This window comes from Homo sapiens, chromosome 11, assembly GCF_000001405.40.
Source record: "Homo sapiens chromosome 11, GRCh38.p14 Primary Assembly".
NCBI lineage: Eukaryota > Metazoa > Chordata > Mammalia > Primates > Hominidae > Homo > Homo sapiens.
Window position 1 is genome coordinate 63,312,587 of NC_000011.10, and position 22,118 is coordinate 63,334,704.

General features: G+C 40.3%; 1 protein-coding gene across 2 annotated transcripts in view; it reads left to right on the plus strand.

Annotated features, from left to right (window-relative positions):
- SLC22A10 (solute carrier family 22 member 10 (gene/pseudogene)) overlaps positions 1–22,118 on the plus strand; it is a 73,242-nt gene that overhangs the window by 22,684 nt on the left and 28,440 nt on the right. Inside the window, exon 10 of one of the 2 annotated variants that reach the window (XM_047426920.1) lies at positions 280–392. The exons of the other annotated variant lie outside the window; for it this stretch is intronic. Within the exon in view, the coding sequence (XP_047282876.1) occupies positions 280–298 (19 nt within the window). The 3' untranslated portion in view covers positions 299–392. Of the gene's footprint in view, positions 1–279; positions 393–22,118 lie in introns of those variants that run through there. 2 annotated transcript variants of the gene reach the window in all.

Here is a 22,118-nt window from a genome sequence, read left to right on the forward strand (position 1 = left end):
TGGGAGCGCTATGGAAGACTGGGGCTTATTTCATCCCTACAGTCTCAACCATAGAAGATGGTCACACCCAAGGGGGCCATTTTAGAGGCCCACCCTCAGGTGCGCGTTCTCTTTCTCAGGGATGTTCCTTGCTGAGAAAAAGAATTCAGCGATATTTCTCCCATTTGCTTTCAAAAGAAGAGAAATATGGCTCTGTTCTGCCTGGCTCAACAGCAGTCAAAATTTAAGGTTATCTCTCTTGTTCCCTGAACATTGCTGTTATCCTGTTCTTTTTTCAAGGTGCCCAGATTTCATATAGTTCAAACACACGTACTCTACAACTTGTGCAGTTAATGCAACCATCACAGGGTCCTGAGGCAACATACATCCTCCTCAGCTTACGTGATCACAGGATTAAGAGATTAAAGAGAGAGCGCCAAGATGGCCGAATACGAACAGCTCCGGTCTACAGCTCCCAGCGTGAGCGACGCAGATGATGGGTGATTTCTGCATTTCCATCTGAGGTCCCGGGTTCATCTCACTAGGGAGTGCCAGACAGTGGGCGCAGGACAGTGGGTGCAGCAAACCATGAGTGAGCCGAAGCAGGGCGAGGCACTGCCTCACTTGGGAAGCACAAGGGGTCAGGGAGTTCCCTTTCCTAGTCAAAGAAATGGGTGACAGACAGCGCCTGGAAAATTGGGTCACTCCCACCCTAATACTGCGCTTTTCCGATGGGCTTAAAAAACAGCTCACCAGGAGATTATATCCCGCACATGGCTCAGAGGGTCCCACGCCCACGGAATCTCACTGATTGCTAGCACAGCAGTCTGAGATCAAACTGCAAGGCAGCAGCGAGGCTGGGGATGGGGTGCCCACCATTGCCCAGGCTTGCTTAGGTAAACAAAGCAGACAGGAAGCTCGAACTGGGTGGAGCCCACCACGGCTCAAGGAGGCCTGCCTGCCTTTGTAGGCTCCACCTCTGGGGACAGGGCACAGACAAACAAAAAGACAGCAATAACCTCTGCAGACTGAAATGTCCCTGTCTGACAGTTTTGAAGAGAGCAGTGGTTCTCCCAGCACGCAGCTGGAGATCTGAGAACCGGCAGACTGCCTCCTCAAGTGGGTCCCTGAACCCTGACCCCCGAGCAGCCTAACTGGGAGGCACCCCCCAGTAGGGGCAGACTGACACCTCACATGGCTGGGTACTCCTCTGAGACAAAACTTCCAGAGTAACGATCAGACAGCAGCATTCACAGTTGATGAAAATCCACTGTTCTGCAGCCACCGCTGCTGATACCCAGGCAAACAGCATCTGGAGTGGACCTCTAGCAAACTCCAACAGACCTGCAGCTGAGGGTCCTGTCTGTTAGAAGGAAAATTAACAAACAGAAAGGACATCCACACCAAAAACCCATCTGTACATCACCATCATCAAAGACCAGAAGTAGATAAGACCAAAAAGATGGGGAAAAAACAGAGCAGAAAAACTGGAAACTCTAGAAAGCAGAGCACCTCTCCTCCTCCAAAGGAACGCAGTTCCTCACCAGCAACGGAACAAAGCTGGATGGAGTATGACTTTGATGAGTTCAGAGAAGGTGGCTTCAGATGAACAAACTACTCTGAGCTACAGGAGGAAATTCAAACCAAAGACAAAGAAGTTAAAAACTTTGAAAAAAATTTAGATGAATGTATAACTAGAATAACCAATACAGAGAAGTGCTTAAAGGAGCTGATGGAGCTGAAAGCCAAGGCTCAAGAACTATGTGAAGAATGCAGAAGCCTCAGAAGCTGATGCAATCAACTGGAAGAAAGGGTATCAGTGATGGAAGATGAAATGAATGAAATGAAGTGAGAAGGGAAGTTTAGAGAAAAAAGAATAAAAAGAAATGAACAAAGCCTCCAAGAAACATGGGACTATGTGAAAAGACCAAATCTACGTCTGATTGGTGTGCCTGAAAGTGACGGGGAGAATGGAACCAAGTTGGAAAACACTCTGCAGGATATTATCCAGGAGAACTTCCCCAATCTAGCAAGGCAGGCCAACATTCAGATTCAGGAAATACAGAGAATGCCACAAAGATACCCCTCGAGAACAGCAACTCCAAGACACATAATTGTCAGATTCACCAAAGTTGAAATGAAGGAAAAAATGTTAAGGGCAGCCAGAGAGAAAGGTCGGGTTACCCACAAAGGGAAGCCCATCAGACTAACAGTGGATCTGTCGCCAAAAACACTACAAGCCAGAAGAGAGTGGGGGCCAATATTCAACATTCTTCAAGAATTTTCAACCCAGTATTTCATATCCAGCCAAACTAAGCTTCATAAGTGAAGGAGAAATAAAATACTTTACAGACAAGCAAATGCTGAGAGATTTTGTCACCACCAGGCCTGCCCTAAAAGAGCTCCTGAAGGAAGCACTAAACATGGAAAGGAACAACCGATACCAACCACTGCAAAATCATGCCAAATTATAAAGACCATCCAGGCTAGGAAGAAACTGCAACAACTAACAAGCAAAATAACCAGCTAACATCATAATGACAGGAACAAATTCACACATAACAATATTAACTTTAAATGTAAATGGACTAAATGCTCCAATTAAAAGACACAGACTGGCAAATTGGATAAAGAGTCAAGAACCATCAGTGTGCTATATTCAGGAAACCCATCTCATGGGCAGAGACACACATAGGCTCAAAATAAAAGGACGGAGGAAGATCTACCAAGCAAATGGAAAACAAAAAAAGGCAGGGGTTGCAATCCTAGTCTCTGATGAAACAGACTTTAAACCAACAAACATCAGAAGAGACAAAGAAGGCCATTACATAATGGTAAAGGGATCAATTCAACAAGAAGAGCTAACTAACTATACTAAATATATATGCACCCAACACAGGAGCACCAAGATTCATAAAGCAAGTCATGAGTGACCTAGAAAGAGACTTAGACTCCCACACAATAATAATGGGAGACTTTAACGCCCCACTGTCAACATTAGAGAGATCAATGAGACAGAAAGTTAACAAGGATATCCAGGAATTGAACTCAGCTCTGCACCAAGCAGACCTAATAGACATCTACAGAACTCTCCACCCCAAATCAACAGAATATACATTCTTTTGAGCACCACACCACACCTATTCCAAAATTGACCACATACTTGGAAGTAAAGCTATCCTCAGCAAATGTAAAAGGACAGAAATTATAACAAATTGTCTCTCAGACCACAGTGCAATCAAACTAGAACTCAGGATTAAGAAACTCACTCAAAACCGCTCAACTACATGGAAACTGAACAACCTGCTCCTGAATGACTACTGGGTACATAATGAAATGAAGGCAGAAATAAAGATGTTCTTTGAAAGCAACGAGAACAAAGACACAACATACCAGAATCTGTGGGACACATTCAAAGCAGTGTGTAGAGGGAAATTTATAGCACTAAATGCCCACAAGAGAAAGCAGGAAAGATCCAAAATAGACAACCTAACATCACAATTAAAATAACTAGAAAAGCAAGAGCAAACACATTCAAAAGCTAGCAGAAGGCAAGAAAAAACTAAAATCAAAGAAGAACTGAAGGAAATAGAGACACAAAAAACCCTTCAAAAAATTAATGAATCTAGGAGCTGGTTTTTTGAAAGGATCAACAAAATTGATAGACCGCTAGCAAGACTAATAAAGAAAAAAAGAGAGAAGAATCAAATAGATGCAATAAAAAATGATAAAGGGGATATCACCACCAATCCCACAGAAATACAAAGTACCATCAGAGAATACTACAAACACCTCTATGCAAATAAACTAGAAAATCTAGAAGAAATGGATAAATTCCTCGACACATAGAGCCTCCCAAGACTAAACCAGGAAGAAGTTGAATCTCTGAATAGACCAATGACAGGCTCTGAAATTGTGGCAATAATCAATAGCTTACCAACCAAAAAGAGTCCAGGACCAGATGGATTCACAGCCGAATTCTACCAGAGGTAGAACTGGTACCATTCCTTCTGAAACTATTCCCATCAATAGAAAAAGAGGGAATCCTCCCTAACTAATTTTATGAGGCCAGCCATCATCCTGATACCAAAGCGTGGTGGAGACACAACCAAAAAAGAGAATTTTAGACCAATATCCTTGATGAACATCGATGCAAAAATCCTCAATAAAATACTGGCAAACCGAATCCAGCAGCACATCAAAAAGCTTATCCACCATGATCAAGTGGGCCTCATCCCTGGGATGCAAGACTGGTTCCATGTATGCAAATCAATAAACATAAGCCAGCATATAAGCAGAACCAATGACAAAAACCACATGATTATCTCAATAGATGCAGAAAAGGCCTTTGACAAAATTCAACAATGCTTCATGCTAAAAACTCTGAATAAATTAGGTATTGATGGGAGGTATCTCAAAATAATAAGAGCTATCTATGACAAACCCACAGCCAATATCATACTGAATGGGCAAAAACTGGAAGCATTCCCTTTGAAAACTGGCACAAGACAGGGATGCCCTCTCTCACCACTCCTATTCAACATAGTGTTGGAAGTTCTGGCCAGGTCAATCAGACAGGAGAAGGAAATAAAGGGTATTCAATTAGGAAAAGAGGAAGTCAAATTGTCCCTGTTTGCAGACAGCATGATTGTATATCTAGAAAACCCCATTGTCTCAGCCCAAAATCTTCTGAAGCTGATAAGCAGCTTCAGCAAAGTTTCAGGATACAAAATCATGTACAAAAATCACAAGCATTCTTATACACCAATAACAGACAAACAGAGCCAAATCATGAGTGAACTCCCATTCACAATTGCTTCAAAGAGAATAAAATACTAGGAATCCAACTTACAAGGGATGTGAGGGACCTCTTCAAGGAGAACTACAAACCACTGCTCAATGAAATAAGAGGATACAAACAAATGGAAGAATATTCCATGCTCATGGGTACGAAGAATCAATATCGTGAAAATGGCCATACTGCCCAAGGTAATTTATGGATTCAATGCCATCCCCATCAAGCTACCAATGACTTTCTTCACACAATTGGAAAAAACTACTTTCAAGTTCATATGGAACCAAAAAAGAGCCTGCATTGCCAAGTCAATCCTAAGCCAAAAGAACAAAGCTGGAGGTATCATGCTACCTGACTTCAAACTCTACTGCAAGGCTACAGTCACCAAACAGCATAGTACTGGTATCAAAACAGAGATATAGACCGGTGGAACAGAACAGAGCCCTCAGAATAATGCCACGTATCTACAACTATCTGATCTTTGACATACCTGAGAAAAACAAGCAATGGGGAAAGGATTCCCTATTTAATAAATGGTGCTGGGAAAACTGGCTAGCTGTATGTAGAAAGCTGAAACTGGATCCCTTCCTTACACCTTATACAAAAATTAATTCAAGATGGATTGAAGACTTAAATGTTAGACCTAAAACCATAAAAACCCTAGAAGAAAACCTAGGCAATACCATTCAGGACATAGGCATGGGTAAGGACTTCATGTCTAAAAGAGCAAAAGCAATGGCAACAAAAGCCAAAATTGACAAATGGGATCTAATTAAACTAAAGAGCTTCCGCACAGCAAAAGAAACTACCATTAGAGTGAACAGGCAACCTACAGAATGGGAGAAAATGCTTGCAACCTCCTCATCTGACAAAGGGCTAATATCCAGAATCTACAATGAACTCAAACAAATTTACAAGAAAAAAACAAACAACCCCATCAAAAAGTGGGTGAAGGATATGAACAGACACTTCTCAAAAGAAGACATTTATGCAGCCAAAAAACACATGAAAAAATGCTCATCATCACTGGCCATCAGAGAAATGCAAATCAAAACCACAATGAGATACCATCTCACACCAGTTAGAAAGGCGATCATTAAAAAGTCTGGAAACAACAGGTGCTGCAGAGGATGTGGAGAAATAGGAACACTTTTACACTGTTGGTGGGACTGTAAACTAGTTCAACCATTTTGGAAGTCAGTGTGGCGATTCCTCAGGGATCTAGAACTAGAAATACCATTTGACCCAGCCATCCTATTACTGGGTATATACCCAAAGGATTATAAAACATGCTGCTATAAAGACACATGCACACGTATGTTTATTGTGGCACTATTCACAGTAGCAAAGACTTGGAACCAACCTAAATGTCCAACAATGATCGACTGGATTAAGAAAATATGGCACATATACACCATGGAATACTATGCAGCCATAAAAAATGATGAGTTCATGTCCTTTGTAGGGACATGGATGAAATTGGAAATCATCATTCTCAGTAAACTATCACAAGGACAAAAAACCAAACACCGCATGTTCTCACTCATAGATAGGAATTGAACAATGAGAACACATGGACACAGGAAGGGGAATGTCACACACCAGAGACTGTTGTGGGCTGTGGGGAGGGGGAAGGATAGCATTAGGGGATATACCTAATGTAAATGAGTTAATGGGTGCAGCACACCAACATGGCACATGTATACATATGTAACAAACCTGCACATTGTGCACATGTACCCTAAAACTTAAAGTATAATAATAATAAAATTAAAAAAAATAACCAGGCATGATGGTGTGCCCCTGTAGTCCCAGCTACTCCGGAGGGTGAAGTGAAAAAGGAGGATCACTTGAACCAGGGATGTCGAGGCCGCAGTGAGGTGTGAAGGCACCATTGCACTCCAGCCTGGGCAACAGAGCAAGATCTGTCTCGAAAAGAAAAAGAAAAGAAAGAAAGAAGGAAAGAAAAAGAAAGAAAGAAAGAAAGAAAGAAAGAAAGAAAGAAAGAAAGAAAGAAAGAAAGAAAGAAAGAAGGAGAGGGAGAGAGAGAGAGAGTGATAAGAAAGAAAGAAAGAAAGAAAGAAAGAGAGGGAGAGAGAGAGAAAGAGTGATAAGAAAGAAAGAAAGAAAGAAAGAAAGAAAGACCCACCCCACTTGTAACTGCTGCTAATAGGAGTGCATATTCAGGGCAGCTTGAATCAGTATTGCTGGGTGGCCATCCTCAAGCTTTGGGCTCAATTAAACTCTACATTTAACATAAAAAAAACTGGGATGATCAATTTCTACGTTTATTCAAAGAAACTATAAACATCAGTTCTATGGGACAATTGGGCCAGTTTCAGTCCCCCCCCCCCGACCATTTTATCTATCAGCTCCTCAATCATTGGGAATCTGGTTATTGATCTTTCTGGCTGCTTCATGGTAAGGAGGGGCATTATAGACAACTTCACACCAAGGGTGACCACTTAGCCACTCAGGAATCAACGGTTAATCTAATACTACAATTTTCTTCAGGAATACAATATTTCTCTCTTCAGTTTCCTACTTCCACCAAAGATAAATCACAGCAGAACCATCTCTTATTAATATTACCTAAAAATGTTTTAAAAAGAGAAAACTAAATTTTACTATTGTATGGTGTATTATTGTTAAAACTAATTTTAATAAATCCTTATAAACAACTGTATCTAATTTTAATTGGTTTGACCATAATATTTCCATAAACTTTTAATGACCTTTTACAATTGCTGTTGAAGAGCAGATTGGGGGGATGGAGCCAAGATGGCTGACTAGAAGCAGTGGTGATTGGAGGCTCCCATCAGAAAGATCCAAAACAGCATGCGAATCCTGCACCAGCAACCAAAGTATCCAGGTTTTGTCATTAGGGCTGACTAGGTGCCTGGCATGATCCACGGAAAGGAAGGAAGAGCAGTGTGGTGCAATGGCCCACCTGAGAGCCACACAGGGCAGGGGAACCCCTACCCCCAGCCAAGGGAGGTGGTGAGTGAGCATGTTATCCAGCCTGGAAAACTGCTTTTTTCACAAAACTGTGCAACCCATGGATTGGAAGATTCCACTCATGAGCCCACACCACCAGGGCCTTGAGTCCCAACAAGGAGCCATGCAGAATCTCAACAGCCAGTCAGCTAGAATCAGCCTAAGCCTGCAGAGTTTATGGTGGCTGAACTCTGAACTCTCCATATTTCTCAGAGGTTTTGTTCATTCCTTTTCAATCTTTTCTCTCTAACCTTGTCTGCCTGCCTATGTCAGCAAGATAGTCTTCAAACTCTGATATTCTCTCTTCCACTTGATTGATTCAGGTATTAATACATGCGTATGCCTCACAAAGTTCTTGTGCTCATTTTTCAACTCCATCTGGTCATTTATGTTCCTCTCTAAACTGGTTATTCTAGTTAGCAGCTCCTCTAACTTTTTATCAACGTTCTTAGCTTCTTTGCATTGGGTTAGAACATGCTCCTTTAGCTCAGTCAACTTTGTTATTACCATAGCCACTGCTGTGGCTGCCTCCTGTGTAATCCAGCTGAGCTCCTTGGGGGAGGGGTGGCAGTCAACACTGTGGCTTTGGGGCCTCCCTGCAGGAACTCCAACTCTAGCCAGGGACTCAGGGACAGAACTCTAATCTCCCGGGGCCTGAGTCCCTAAGGGGAGGTATGGCTGTAGTCTATGCAGACCAGCAGACTTAGTCTTTCCTCCGTTAGCTCTGAGGAATCGGGGCAGTCTAGATGAGTAGGATTCCCCCAAGTGAAGAACACCTCCTCCACCAGAGGACAGCCAAAAGTGCTTCATTAAATGGGTCCTGATTTCCATGCCACCCAACTGGGTGAGAACCCCCAACAAGTGTTGTCAGATATCTATACAAGAATGTTTCTACTGACATCAGGTCAGTGCCCCTTGAGATCAGAAATCCCAGGCCCCCCAAAAGGGGTTGTCAGACATCTTATACAGAAATGTTCCTACTGGCAAGAGATCAGTGCCCCTTGAGGTCAGATATCTCAAGAAGGAGGAGGCACCCATCTTTGCTGTTCTCCAGCCTCCTCAAGTGACATCTCCCGGCACAAGAACAAACCAGATGAATATAGTCTGAAGTGAAGCCCCAGCAAACCATAGGTGTCCCACAAAAGAGGTACCTGATTACTGAAAGAAAAACAAACAGAAAGCAACAACAATATCAATAAAAAAGTTTCCACAAAAACCTCATCCAAGAATCAGCAGCCTCAAAGATCAAAACTAGACAAATTCATGAAGATGAGAAAGAATCAATGAAAAAATGCTGAAAACCGAAAAGGACTGTGTGCCTCTTCACTTCCAAATGATTGCAACACCTCTCCAGAAAGGGCGCAGACCTGGACAGAGGATGAAATGGATGAATTGACAAAAGTAGGCTTCAGAAAGTGGGTAATAAAAAACTTGACTGAGGTAAAGGAGCATGTTCTAACTCAATGCAAAGAAGCTAAGAACCTTGATAAAAAGTTAGAGGAGCTGCTAACTAGAATAACCAGTTTAGAGAGGAACATAATGACCAGATGGAGCTGAAAAATGCAACACAAGAACTTTGTGAGTCATACACATGTATTAATACCTGAATCAATCAAGTGGAAGAGGGAATATGAGAGTCTGAAGACTATCTTGCTGAAATAGGCAGGCAGACAAGGTTAGACAAAAAAGATTGAAAAGGAATGAACAAAACCTCTGAGAAATAAGGAACTATATAAAAAGACTGAAACTATGATTGATTGGCATGCCTGAAAGAGATTGGAAGAATGGAACCAAGTTGGAAAACAAACTTCAGCATATTATACAGGAGAATTTTCCCAACCTATCAAGAGAAGCCCACTAAGATACTCCATGAGAAGATCAATCCCAAGACACATAATAACAGATTCTCCAAGGTCAAAATGAAGGAAAAAATGTTAATGGCAGCCAGAGAAAAAGGCCAGGTTACCTACAAAGGAAAGCCCATCCCGTCAGACTAATAGTAGATCTCTCAGCAGAAACCTTACAAGCCAGAAGAGAGGGAGGGCCAATATTCAACATTCTTAAAAAAAAGAATTTTCAACCCAGAATTTCATATATTGCCAAACCAAGATTTATAAGCAAAGCAGAAATGAAATCCTTTTCAGATAAGCACATGCTGAGGGAATTTATCACCACTAGGCCTGTCTTGTAAGAGCTCCTGAAGGAAGCAATAAATACGAAAAGGAAAACCTGGTACCAGCCACAGCGAAAGACAAGAAAATATAAAGACCAATGACATTATAAAGAATGTCATCAACTAGTGTGCAAAATAACCAGCTAGCATCGTGATGACACGATCAAATTCACACATAACAATATTAACCTTTAATGTAAGTAGGCTAAATGCCCCAATTAAAAGGCACAGACTGGCTAATTGGATAGAGTCAAGAACCATCAGTGTACTGTATTCAAGAGACCCATCTCATGTGCAAAGACACACATAGACTCAAAATAAAGAGTGCAGGAAAAATTTACCAAGAAAAGCTAACTTTCCTAAATATATATGCATCCAATACAGGAGCACCCAGATTCATAAAGCAGGTTCTTAGAAACCTACAAAGAGACTTAGACTCCCACACAATAATAGTGGAACACTTTAACACCCCACTGTCAATATCAGAAAGATCAATGAAACAGGAAATTAATAATAATATTCAGGACTTTAACTCAACTCTGGATCAGGTGGACCTAATAGATATCTACAGAACTCTCCACCCAAAACCAACAGAATATACATTCTTATCAGTGCCACATGGCAATTACTCTAAAATCAACCACATAATTGGAAGTAAAACACTCCTCAGCAAATATAAAAGAACTGAAAACGTAAAAAACCTTCTCTCAGGTTACAGTGCAATCAAATTAGACCTCAGGGTTAAGAAACTCATTCAAAACCACACAACTCATGGAAATTGAACAACTTGCTTCTGAATGACTCCTGGGTAAAAAAGAAATTAAGGCATAACTCAAGAAGTTCTTTGAAACCAATGAGAACAAAGAGACAATGTACCAAATCTCTGGGATGCAGTTAAGCAGTATTAAGAGGGAAATTTATAGCACTAAATGCCCACACCAGAAAGCTGGAAAGATCTCAAATAGACACTCTAACATCACAATGAAAAGAACTAGAGAAACAAGAGCAAACAAAGTCAAAAGCTAGGAGGAGACAAGAAATAACTAAGATCAGAGCAGAACCGAAGGAGATAGAGACATGAAAAACCCTTCAAAAATCAATAAATCCCAGAGCTGGTTCTTTGAAAAAATTAACAAAATAGATACAACACTAGGTAGACTAATAAAGTAGAACAGAGAAGATGTAAATAAACACAATAAAAATGATGAAGGGGCTATCACCACTGACCCCATTGAAATACAAACAACCATCAGAGAATACTATAAACACCTCTATGAAAATAAACTAGAAATTCAGAAGAAATGGGCAAATTCCTGGACACATGCACCCTCCCAAGACTAAACCAGGAAGAAATTGAATCCCTGAATTGACCAATAATGAGTTCTGATATTGAGGCAGTAATAAATAGTCTAGCAACAATAACAACAACAAAAAAGCCAAGGACCAGACAGATTTACAGCCAAATTCTACCAGAGGTACAAAGAGGAGCTGGTACCATTCTTTCTGAAACTATTGTAAACAATAGAAAAAGAGGGGATCCTCCCTAACTCATTTTATGAGGCCAGCATCATCCTGATACCAGACCTTGGCAAGACACAACAAAAAAAGAAAATTTCAGGCCAATATCCATGATGAACCTTAATGTGGAAATCCTCAACAAAACACTGGCAAACCAAATCCAGCAGAACATCAAAAAGCTTATTCACCATGATCAAACTGGCTTTGTCCCTGGGATACAAGACTGGTTTAACATACACAAATCAATAAATGTAATCCATCACATAAACAGAACCAATGGCAAAAACCACATGATTATCTCAATAGAGGCAGAAAAGAGCATCAATAAAATTCAACATCCCTTCTTGTTAAAATCATTCAATATACTAGGTATTTATGGAACACCTCTCAAAATAATAACAGATATGTATGACAAACCCACAGCCAATATCATACTGAATGGGCAAAAGTTGGAAGCATTCCCTTTGAAAACCAGCACAAGACAAGGAGGCCCTTTTTCACCACTCCTATTCAATGTAGTATAGGAAGTTCTGGTCAAGACAATTGGGCAAGAGAAAGAAATAAAGAGTATTCAAATAGGAAGAGAGGAAGTCAAATTGTCTCTCTTTGCAGATGACATAATCCTACATTTAGAAAACCCCATTGTCTCACCCCAAAAACAACTTAAACTAATAAGGAATGTTAGCAAAGTCTCAGGATACAAAATCAATGTGCAAAAATCACAAGCATTTCTATACACAAAAAATAGACAAGCAGAGAGCCAAATCGTAAATGAACTCCCATTCACAATTGCTACAAAGAGAATAAAATACTTAGGAATGCAGCTAACAAGGGACGTGAAGGACATTTTCAAGGAGAACTACAAACCACTTCTCAAGGAAATAAGAGGGGACACAAACAAATGGGAAAGTATTCCAGCCTCATGGATAGAAAGAATCGATATTGCGAAAATGGCCGTACTTCCCAAAATAATTTATAGAATAAATACTGCTCCAAACTACTATTGACATTCTTCACAGCAGTAGAAAAAACTACTTTAAAAATTACATGGAACCAGAAAAAGCCCATATAAGCAAGACAATTCTAAGCAAAAAGAACAAAACTAGAGGCATCACGCTATTTGACTTCAAACTATACTACAAGGCTACAATAACCAAAACAGCACAGTACTGGTACAAAAACAGACATATAGACCAATGGAACAGAATAGAGACCTCAGAAATAAGGCCACACATATACAACTGTCTGATCTTTGACAAACCTGACAAAAACAAGCAATGGGGAAAGGATTCCCTACTTGATAATTGGTACTGGGAAAACTGGCTAGCCATATGCAGAAAACTGAAACTGGACCACTTCCTTACACCTTATACAAAAGTTAACTCAAGATGGATTAAAGACTTTAATATAAAACCCAGAACCATAAAAACCCTAGAAGAAAACCTAGGTGATATCATTCAGGACAAAGGCATGGGCAAAGACTTCATGATTAAAACACCAAAAGCAATAGAAACAAAAGCCAAAATTGACAAATGGGATCAAATTAAACTAAAGAGCTTCTGCACAGCAAAAGAAACTACCATCAGAGCAAACAGGCAACCTAGAGAATGGGAGAAAATTTTTGCAACTACCCACCTGACAAAGGTCTAATATCTAGGATATACAAGGAGCTTAAACAAACTTACAAGAAAAAACCAAACAACCCTATGAAAAAGTGGGTAAAGGATATAAATGGATGCTTCAAAAAAGAAGATATTTATGTGGCCAAAAACATATGATAAAAAGCTCAACATTAATGATCATTAGAAAAATGCAAATGAAAACCACAATTAGATATCATCTCATGCCAGACAGAATGATGATTATTAAAAAGGCAAGAAACAACAGATGCTGGTGAGGCTGTGGAGAACTAAGAATGCTTTTACACTCTTGGTGAGAATGTAAATTAGTTCACCCATTGTGGAAGACAGTTTGGTGATTTATCAAGGATCTAGAACCAGAAATGCCATTTGACCCAGCAATGTCATTACTTGGTATATGCCCAAAGGAATATAAATCACTCTACAATAAAGACACATGCACCCATTTGTTTATTGTGGCACTATTCACAATAGCAAAGACATGTAACCAACCCAAATGCCCATCAATGATAGACTGGATAAAGAAAATGTGTACATATACTGCATAGAATACTATGCAGCCATAAAAAGGAATGAGTTCATGTCCTTTGCAGGGACATGGATGAAGCTGAAAGCCATTATCCTCAGCAAACTAACACTGGAACAGAGAACCAAATACTGTATATTCTCACTCATAAGTGGGAGTTGAACAATGAGAACACATGGACACAAGGAGGGGAACAATGCGAACCAGGGCCTGTCAGAGAGGGTCAAGGGGAGGCCGAACATCAGGACAAATAGTTAATGCATGCAGGGATTAAAACCTAGATATCAGGTTGATAGGTGCAGCAAATCACCATGGCACATGTGTACCTATGTAACAAACATGCGTGCTCGGCACATGTATCCCAGAACTTAAAGAAAATAAATAAACAAATAAATAAAATTTGTGCCCTTAATCACCATGATATCCTGGCTCTTGGGGCCACAACCCCACCTCTTCCACATCTTCATCTAGCAGCTCATTTGGATCCATTTTTCTAACTAAATCCTGTAATTTCTTCCTGGTTGAAGTCTAAAGCAGGAGCAGATTTTTCAGCCAAGTGTTAAGGAAACAAAATAACTCATTATCTCATAATGAAGAAAGACTGTCAAAGTGTTATGTTTTGTTTGTACTTCCTCAAGAGTTCCGTCTACCCTGGCTGATAGTATTGCCACAAGATGACACTGTCAAGACAGAAGTGCCTGAGGAAAGGTAGAGACAACAATTTAGGAAAAGAGGCCAGCCTGAAACCATCTGATAGTTTATATCTCAGCTTCATGGCTTTTCTCTTATTGTACCTCACCTTCCCCCTGCCACCAACCCACATTCTGGCTGCATTAAACAATTTTCAGTTCTCTGACCACCACAAATTTTGGTGCCTCTGGGGCCTTTGGATGAGCTTGTTCTCCCTTCTTCCCACATGCTTAGCTCATGGCATCTCCTTGATGATGCATTTTCTGGCCCACCCAGGTAAAAATGACCACTCCTCCTTTGGCATCTACTCTATCCTGTACATTCTTCTATCAACAGACTATAACACTTTATTGCACATATTTATAAACTTGCATGTTTCTGACTTAGCAAGCTACAGACTCCCTAACAGTAGAGAACATTTGTTCATCTCTCTGTCACTAAATGTTTGTGTGTGTACAACTATGATCCTTCATTCCTAAAGGAAATGTCATGCCACATATATATACCATTAAAAATGATCAAACAATGTGCTAACCATGGTTTTCTTTGGGTGGCAGAATTATATGATATTCATTCTTTCTGTATTTCTAGAGTTTCTGTGATAAACACATATAACTTCGCAAACAAGAAGACCAAAAAAAAAACTGACATTAAAGCAAAAGATGAATAAGCTTTACAATAAAAATTTAAAAATAAAAGAACAGATCAATGCACCATGAAAACCTTGCTAAACTGATACAGGGGCCCAGATGCTGGCCTTGCATAAGTGTGCTTTTGATGTTCCTGTTTAATTTATAGAAAAACTCTGAAGTAATTTTATCACTCAGTATTGACCCTTATAATCTCACATGCCCACATCTTCCATGATAGTGCCTGGGCCTAGAGGGATTGAGTAGTTTTAATTTCTGGCCCTGTGTCTCTTGAGAACCATTCATTTTTTTTTCTTATGTTGCCAACTATTATTTTATTATAAATTAGATATTCTAATAATGGACACTATTAACATATAAATAAAAATGTGACTTTATAAAGTACCAATAGAAATACCAATACATATGAGCTTGTCAAGGGGTCTTACTGAATTAAGAAACTTTCTGCTCAATATATATTCTATCATAAAAATAAGGAGACATCCTTTGAGAATGCACTGTTCATTTTTTTATACTTTAACCACATTTATTTATTTATTTAATTTCTTTTTATTATACTTTAAGTTTTAGGGTACATGTGCACAACGTGCAGGTTTCTTACATATGTATACATATGCCATGTTGGTGTGCTGCACCCATTAACTTGTCATTTACATTAGGCATATCTCCTAATGCTATCCTTCCCCTTCCCCACACCCCACAACAGGCCCCGGTGTGTGATGTTCCCCTCCTGTGTCCATGTGTTCTCATTGTTCAGTTCCCACCTATAAGTGAGAACATGCAGTGTTTGGTTTTTTGTCCTTGCGATAGTTTGCTGAGAATGATGGTTTCCAGCTTCATCCATGTCCCTACAAAGGACATGAACTCATCATTTTTATGGCTGTGTAGTATTCCATGGTGTATATGTGCCACATTTTCATAACCCAGTCTATCATTGTTGCACACTTGGGTTGGTTCCAAGTCTTTGCTATTGTGAATAGTGCCACAATAAACATACGTGTGCATGTGTCTTTATAGCAGCATGTTTTATAATCCTTTGGGTATATACCCAGTAATGGGATGGCTGGGTCAAATGGTAGTTCCAGTTCTAGATGCCTGAGGAATCGCCACACTGACTTCCACAATGGTTGAACTAGTTTACAGTCCCACCAACAGTGTAAAAGTGTTCCTATTTCTCCATATCCTCTGCAGCACCTGTTGTTTCCTGACTTTTTAATGATCGCCATTCTAACTGGTGTGAGATGGTATGGCATTGTGATTTTGATTTGCATTTCTCTGATGGCCAGTGATGATGAGCATTTTTCTATGTGTCTGTTGGCTGCATAAATGTCTTCTTTTGAGAAGTGTCTGTTCATATCCTTCGCCCACGTGTTGATGGGTTTGATTGTTTTTTTCTTGTAAATTTGTTTGAGTTCTTTGTAGATTCTGGATATTAGCCCTTTGTCAGATGAGTAGATTGCAAAAATTTTCTCCCATTCTGTAGGTTGCCTGTTCACTCTGATGGTAGTTTCTTTTGCTGTGCAGAAGCTCTTTAGTTTAATTAAATCCCATTTGTCAATTTTGGCTTTTGTTGCCATTGCTTTTGGTGTTTTAGATATGAAGTCCTTGCCCATGCGTATGTCCTGAATGGTATTGCCTAGGTTTTCTTCTAGGGTTTTTATGGTTTTAGGTCTAACATTTAAGTCTTTAATCCATCTTGAATTAATTTTTGTATAAGGTATAAGGAAGAGATCCAGTTTCAGCTTTCTGCATATGGCTAGCCAGTTTTCCCAGCACCATTTATTAAATAGGGAATCCTTTCCCCATTTCCTATTTTTGTCAGGTTTGTCAAAGATCAGATATTTGTACATGTGTGGCATTATTTCTGAGGGCTCTGTTCTGTTCCATTGGTCTATATCTCTGTTTTGGTAGCAGTACCAAAACTGTTTTGGTGACTGTAGCCTTGTAGTATAGTTTGAAGTCAGGTAGCGTGATTCCTCCAGCTTTGTTCTTTTGGCTTAGGATTGACTTGGCAATGTGGGCTCTTTTTTGGTTCCATGCGAACTTTAAAGAAGTTTTTTCCAATTCTGTGGAGAAAGTCATTGGTAGCTTGATGGGGATGGCATTGAATCTATAAATGACCTTGGGCAATATGGCCGTTTTCACGATATTGATTCTTCCTACCCATGAGCATGGAATGTTCTTCCATTTGTTTGTATCCTCTTTTATTTCCTTGAGCAGTGGTTTGTAGTTCTCATTGACGAGGTCCTTCACATCCCTTGGAAGTTGGATTCCTAGGTATTTTACTCTCTTTGAAGCAATTGTGAATGGGAGTTCACTCATGATTTGGCTGTTTGTCTGTTATTGGTGTATAAGAATACTTGTGATTTTTGCACATTGATTTTGTATCCTGAGACTTTGCTGAAGTTGTTTATCAGCTTAAGGAGATTTGGGGCTGAGACGATGAGGTTTTCTAGATATACAATCATGTCATCTGCAAAGAGGGACAATTTGACTTCCTCTTTTTCTAATTGAATACCCTTTATTTCCTTCTCCTGCCTGATTGCCCTGGCCGGAACTTCCAACACTATGTTGAATAGGAGTGGTGAGAGAAGGCATCCCTGTCTTGTGCCAGTTTTCAAAGGGAATGCTTCCAGTTTTTGCCCATTCATACGATATTGGCTGTGGGTTTGTCATAGATAGCTCTTATTATTTTGAGATATGTCCCATCAATACCTAATTTATTGAGTTTTTAGCATGAAGGGCTGTTGAATTTTGTCAAAGGCCTTTTCTGCATCTATTGAGATAATCATGTGGTTTTTGTCATTGGTTCTGCTTATATGCTGGATTATGTTTATTGATTTGCGTGTGTTGAACCAGCCTTGCATCCCAGGGATGAAGCCCATTTGATCATGGTGGATAAGTTTTTTGATGTGTTGCTGGATTCGGTTTGCCAGTATTTTATTGAGGATTTTTGCACTGATATTCATCAGGGATATTGGTCAAAAATTCTCTTTTTTGTTGTGTCTCTGCCAGTCTTTGGCATCAGGATGATGCTGGCCTCATAAAATGAGTTAGGGAGGATTCCCACTTTTTCTATTGACTGGAATAGTTTCACAAGGAATGGTACCAGCTCTTCTTTGTACCTCTGGTAGAATTCGGCTGTGAATCCATCTGGTCCTGGACTTTTTTTGGTTGGTAAGCTATTAATTATAGCCTCAATTTCAGAGCCTGTTATTGGTCTATTCAGAGACTCAACTTCTTCCTGGTTTAGTCTTGGGAGGGTATATGTGTCCAGGAATTTATCCATTTCTTCTAGATTTTCTAGTTTATTTGCATAGAGGTGTTTATAGTATTCTCTGATAGTACTTTGTATTTCTGTGGGATCGGTGGTGTTATCCCCTTTATCATTTTTTATTGCGTCTATTTGATTCTTCTCTCTTTTCTTCTTTATTAGTCTTGCTAGCGGTCTATCAATTTTGTTGATCTTTTCAAAAAACCAGCTCCTGGATTCATTGATTTTTTGAAGGGTTTTTTGTGTCTCTACATCCTTCAGTTCTGCTCTGAACTTAGTTATTTCTTGCCTTCTGCTAGCTTTTGAATGTGTTTTTTCTTGCTTCTCTGGTTCTTTTAATTGTGATGCTAGGGTGTCAATTTTAGATCTTTCCTGCTTTCTCTTGTGGGCATTTAGTGCTATAAATTTCCCTCTACACACTTCTTTGAATGTGTCCCAGAGATTCTGGTATGTTGTGTCTTTGTTCTCATTGCTTTCAAAGAACATCTTTATTTCTGCCTTCATTTCATTATGTACCCAGTAGTCATTCAGGAGCAGGTTGTTCATTTTCCATGTAGATGAGCAGTTTTGAGTGAGTTTCTTAATCCTGAGTTCTAGTTTGATTGCACTGTGGTCTGAGAGACTGTTATAATTTCTGTTCTTTTACATTTGCTGAGGAGTGCTTTACTTCCAACTATGTGGTCAATTTTGGAATAAGTGCAGTGTGGTGCTGAGAAGAATGTATATTCTGTTGATTTGGGGTGGAGAGTTCTGTAGATGTCTATTAGATCCACTTGGTGCAGAGCTGAGTTCAATTCCTGGGTATCCTTGTTGATTTTCTGTCTCGTTGATCTGTCTAATGTTGACAGTTGGGTGTTAAAGTCTCCCATTATTATTGTGTGGGAGTCTAAGTCTCTTTCTAGGTCTGTAAGGACTTGCTTTATGAATCTGGGTGCTCCGGTATTGGGTGCATATATATTTAGAATAGTTAGCTCTTCTTGTTGAATTGATCCCTTTACCAATATGTAATGGCCTTCTTTGTCTCTTTTGATCTTTGTTGGTTTAAAGTCTGTTTTATCAGAGACTAGGATTGCAACCCCTGCCTTTTTTTGTTTTCCATTTGCTTGGTAGATCTTCCTCCATGTCTTTATTTTAAGCCTATATGTGTCTCTGCATATGAGATGGGTTTCCTGAATACAGCACACTTATGCTTCTTGACTCTTTATCCAATTTGCCAGTCTGTGACTTTTAATTGGAACATTTAGCCCATTTACATTTAAGGTTAATATTGTTATGTGTGAATTTGATCCTGTCTTTATGATGTTAGCTGGTTATTTTGCTCATTAGTTAATGCAGTTTCTTCCTAGCCTTGACGGTCTTTACAATTTGGCATCTTTGCAGGGTCTGGTACCAGTTTTTCCTTTCCATGCTCAATGCTTCCTTCAGTTCTTGTAGGGCAGGCATGGTGGTAACAAAATCTCTCAGCATTTGCTTTTCTGTAAAGGATTTTATTTCTCCTTCACTTATGAAGCTTAGTTTGGCTGGATATGAAATTCTGGGTTGAAAATTCTTTTCTTGAAGAATGTTGAATATTGGCCCCCACTCTCTTCTGGCTTGTAGAGTTTCTGCCGAGAGATCTGCTGTTAGTCTGATGGGCTTCCCTTTGTGGGTAACCCGACCTTTCTCTCTGGCTGCCCTTAACATTTTTTCCTTCATTTCAACTTTGATGATTCTGACAATTATGTGTCTTGGAGTTGCTCTTCTCAAGGAGTATCTTTGTGGTGTTCTCTGTATTTCCTGAATCTCAATGTTGACCTGACTTGCTAGATTGGGGAAGTTCTCCTGGATAATATCCTGCAGAGTGTTTTCCAAGTTGGTTCCATTGTCCCCGTGACTTTCAGGTACACCAATCAGACGTAGATTTGGTCTTTTCACATAGTCCCATATTTCTCAGAGAATTTATTCATTTCTTTTCATTCTTTTTTTTTAATTTTATTATTATTATACTTTAAGTTTTAGGGTACATGTGCACAACGTGCAGGTTTGTTCTCTTCTCACTTCATTTCATTCTTTTGATCTTCCATCACTGATACCCTTTCTTCCAGTTGATTGAATCGGCTACTGAGGCTTGTGCATTTGTCACGTAGTTGTCGTGCCATGGTTTTCAGCTCCATCAGGTCCTTTAAGGACTTCTCTGCATTGATTATTCTAGTTAGCCATTCACCTAATCTTTTTTCAAGGTTTTTAGCTTCTTTGCAATGGGATCGAACTTCGTCCTTTAGCTCAGAGAAGTTTGATCATTTGAAGCTTTCTTCTCTCAACTTGTCAAAGTCACTCTCCATCCAGCTTTGTTCTGTTGCTGGCAAGGAGCTGCTTTCCTTTGGAGGGGAAGAGGTGCTCTGATTTTCAGAGTTTCCAGTTTTTCTCTCTGTCTTTTCCCCATCTTTGTGGCTTTATCTACCTTTGGTCTTTGATGATGGTGACATACAGATGGGGTTTTGGTGTGGATGTCCTTTCTGTTTGTTAGTTTTCCTTCTAGCAGTCAGGGCCCTCAGCTGCAGGTCTGTTGGAGTTTGCTGGAGGTCCACTCCAGAACCTGATTGCCTGGGTTTCAGCAGCAGAGGCTGCAGAACAGCGGATATTGGTGAACAGCAAATGTTGCTGCCTGATCATTCCTCTGCAAGTTTTGTCTCAGAGGAGTACCCAGCCGTGTGAGGTGTCAGTCTGCCCCTACTGGGGGATGCCTCCCAGTTAGGCTACTTGGGGCTCAGGGACCCACTTGAGGAGGCAGTCTCTCTGTTCTCAGATCTCAGGCTGCATGCTGGGAGAACCACTACTCTCTTCCAAGCTGTTAGACAGGGACATTTAAGTCTGCAGAGGTTTCTGCTGCCTTCTGTTTGGCTATGCCCTGCCCCCAGAGGTGGAGTCTACAGAGGCAGGCAGGCCTCATTGAGCTGCGGTGGGCTCCACAGAGTTCGAGCTTCCCAGCTGCTTTGGTTACCTACTCAAGCCTCAGCAATGGCAGGCACCCCTCCCCCAGTCTTGCTGCCGCCTTGCAGTTTGATCTGAGACTGCTGTGCTAACAATAAGGGAGGCTTCATTGGTGTAGGACCCTCTGAGCCATGTGTGGGATACAATCTCCTGGTGTCCCATTTGCTAAGACCATCAGAAAAGCCCAGTATTAGGGTGGGAGTGACCTGATTTTCCAGGTGCCATCTGTCACCCCTGTTTTTGGCTTGGAAAGGGAATTCCCTGACTCCCTGTGCATCCTGGTTGAGGCGATGCCTTGCTCTGCTTTGGCTCACCCTCGGTGCACTACACCCACTATCCTGCACCCAATGTCTGATAATCCCCACTGAGATGCACCCAGTACCTCAGTTGGAAATGCAGAAATCACTCGTCTTCTGTGTTGCTCAGGCTGGGAGCTGTAGACTGGAGCTGTTCCTATTTGGCCATCTTGGCTCCACCCTCCAATTCACTGATTTTTGAAGGGGTTTTCATGTCTCTATCTCTTTCAGTTCTGCTCTGATCTTAGTTATTTCTTGTATTCCCCTAGCTCTTGGCTTTGTTTGCTCTTGCTTCTCTTGTTCTTTTAATTGTGATGTTAGGATGTTGATTTCAGGTATTTCTAGCTTTCTGATGTGGGCATTTAGTGCCATAAATTTTCCTCATGACACTGCTTTAGCTGTGTCCCAGAGATTCTGGTACATTGTCTCTTTGTTGTTGTTGTTGGTTTCATAGAACTTCTTGATTTCTGCTTTAATTTCATTTTTAACCCAGCAGTCATTCAGGAGCCTGTTGTTCAATTTCCATGTACTTGTGTGGTTTTGAGTGAGTTTTTTAATCTTGAGTTCCAATTTGATTCCACTGTGATCTGAAAGACCGTTTGTTATGATT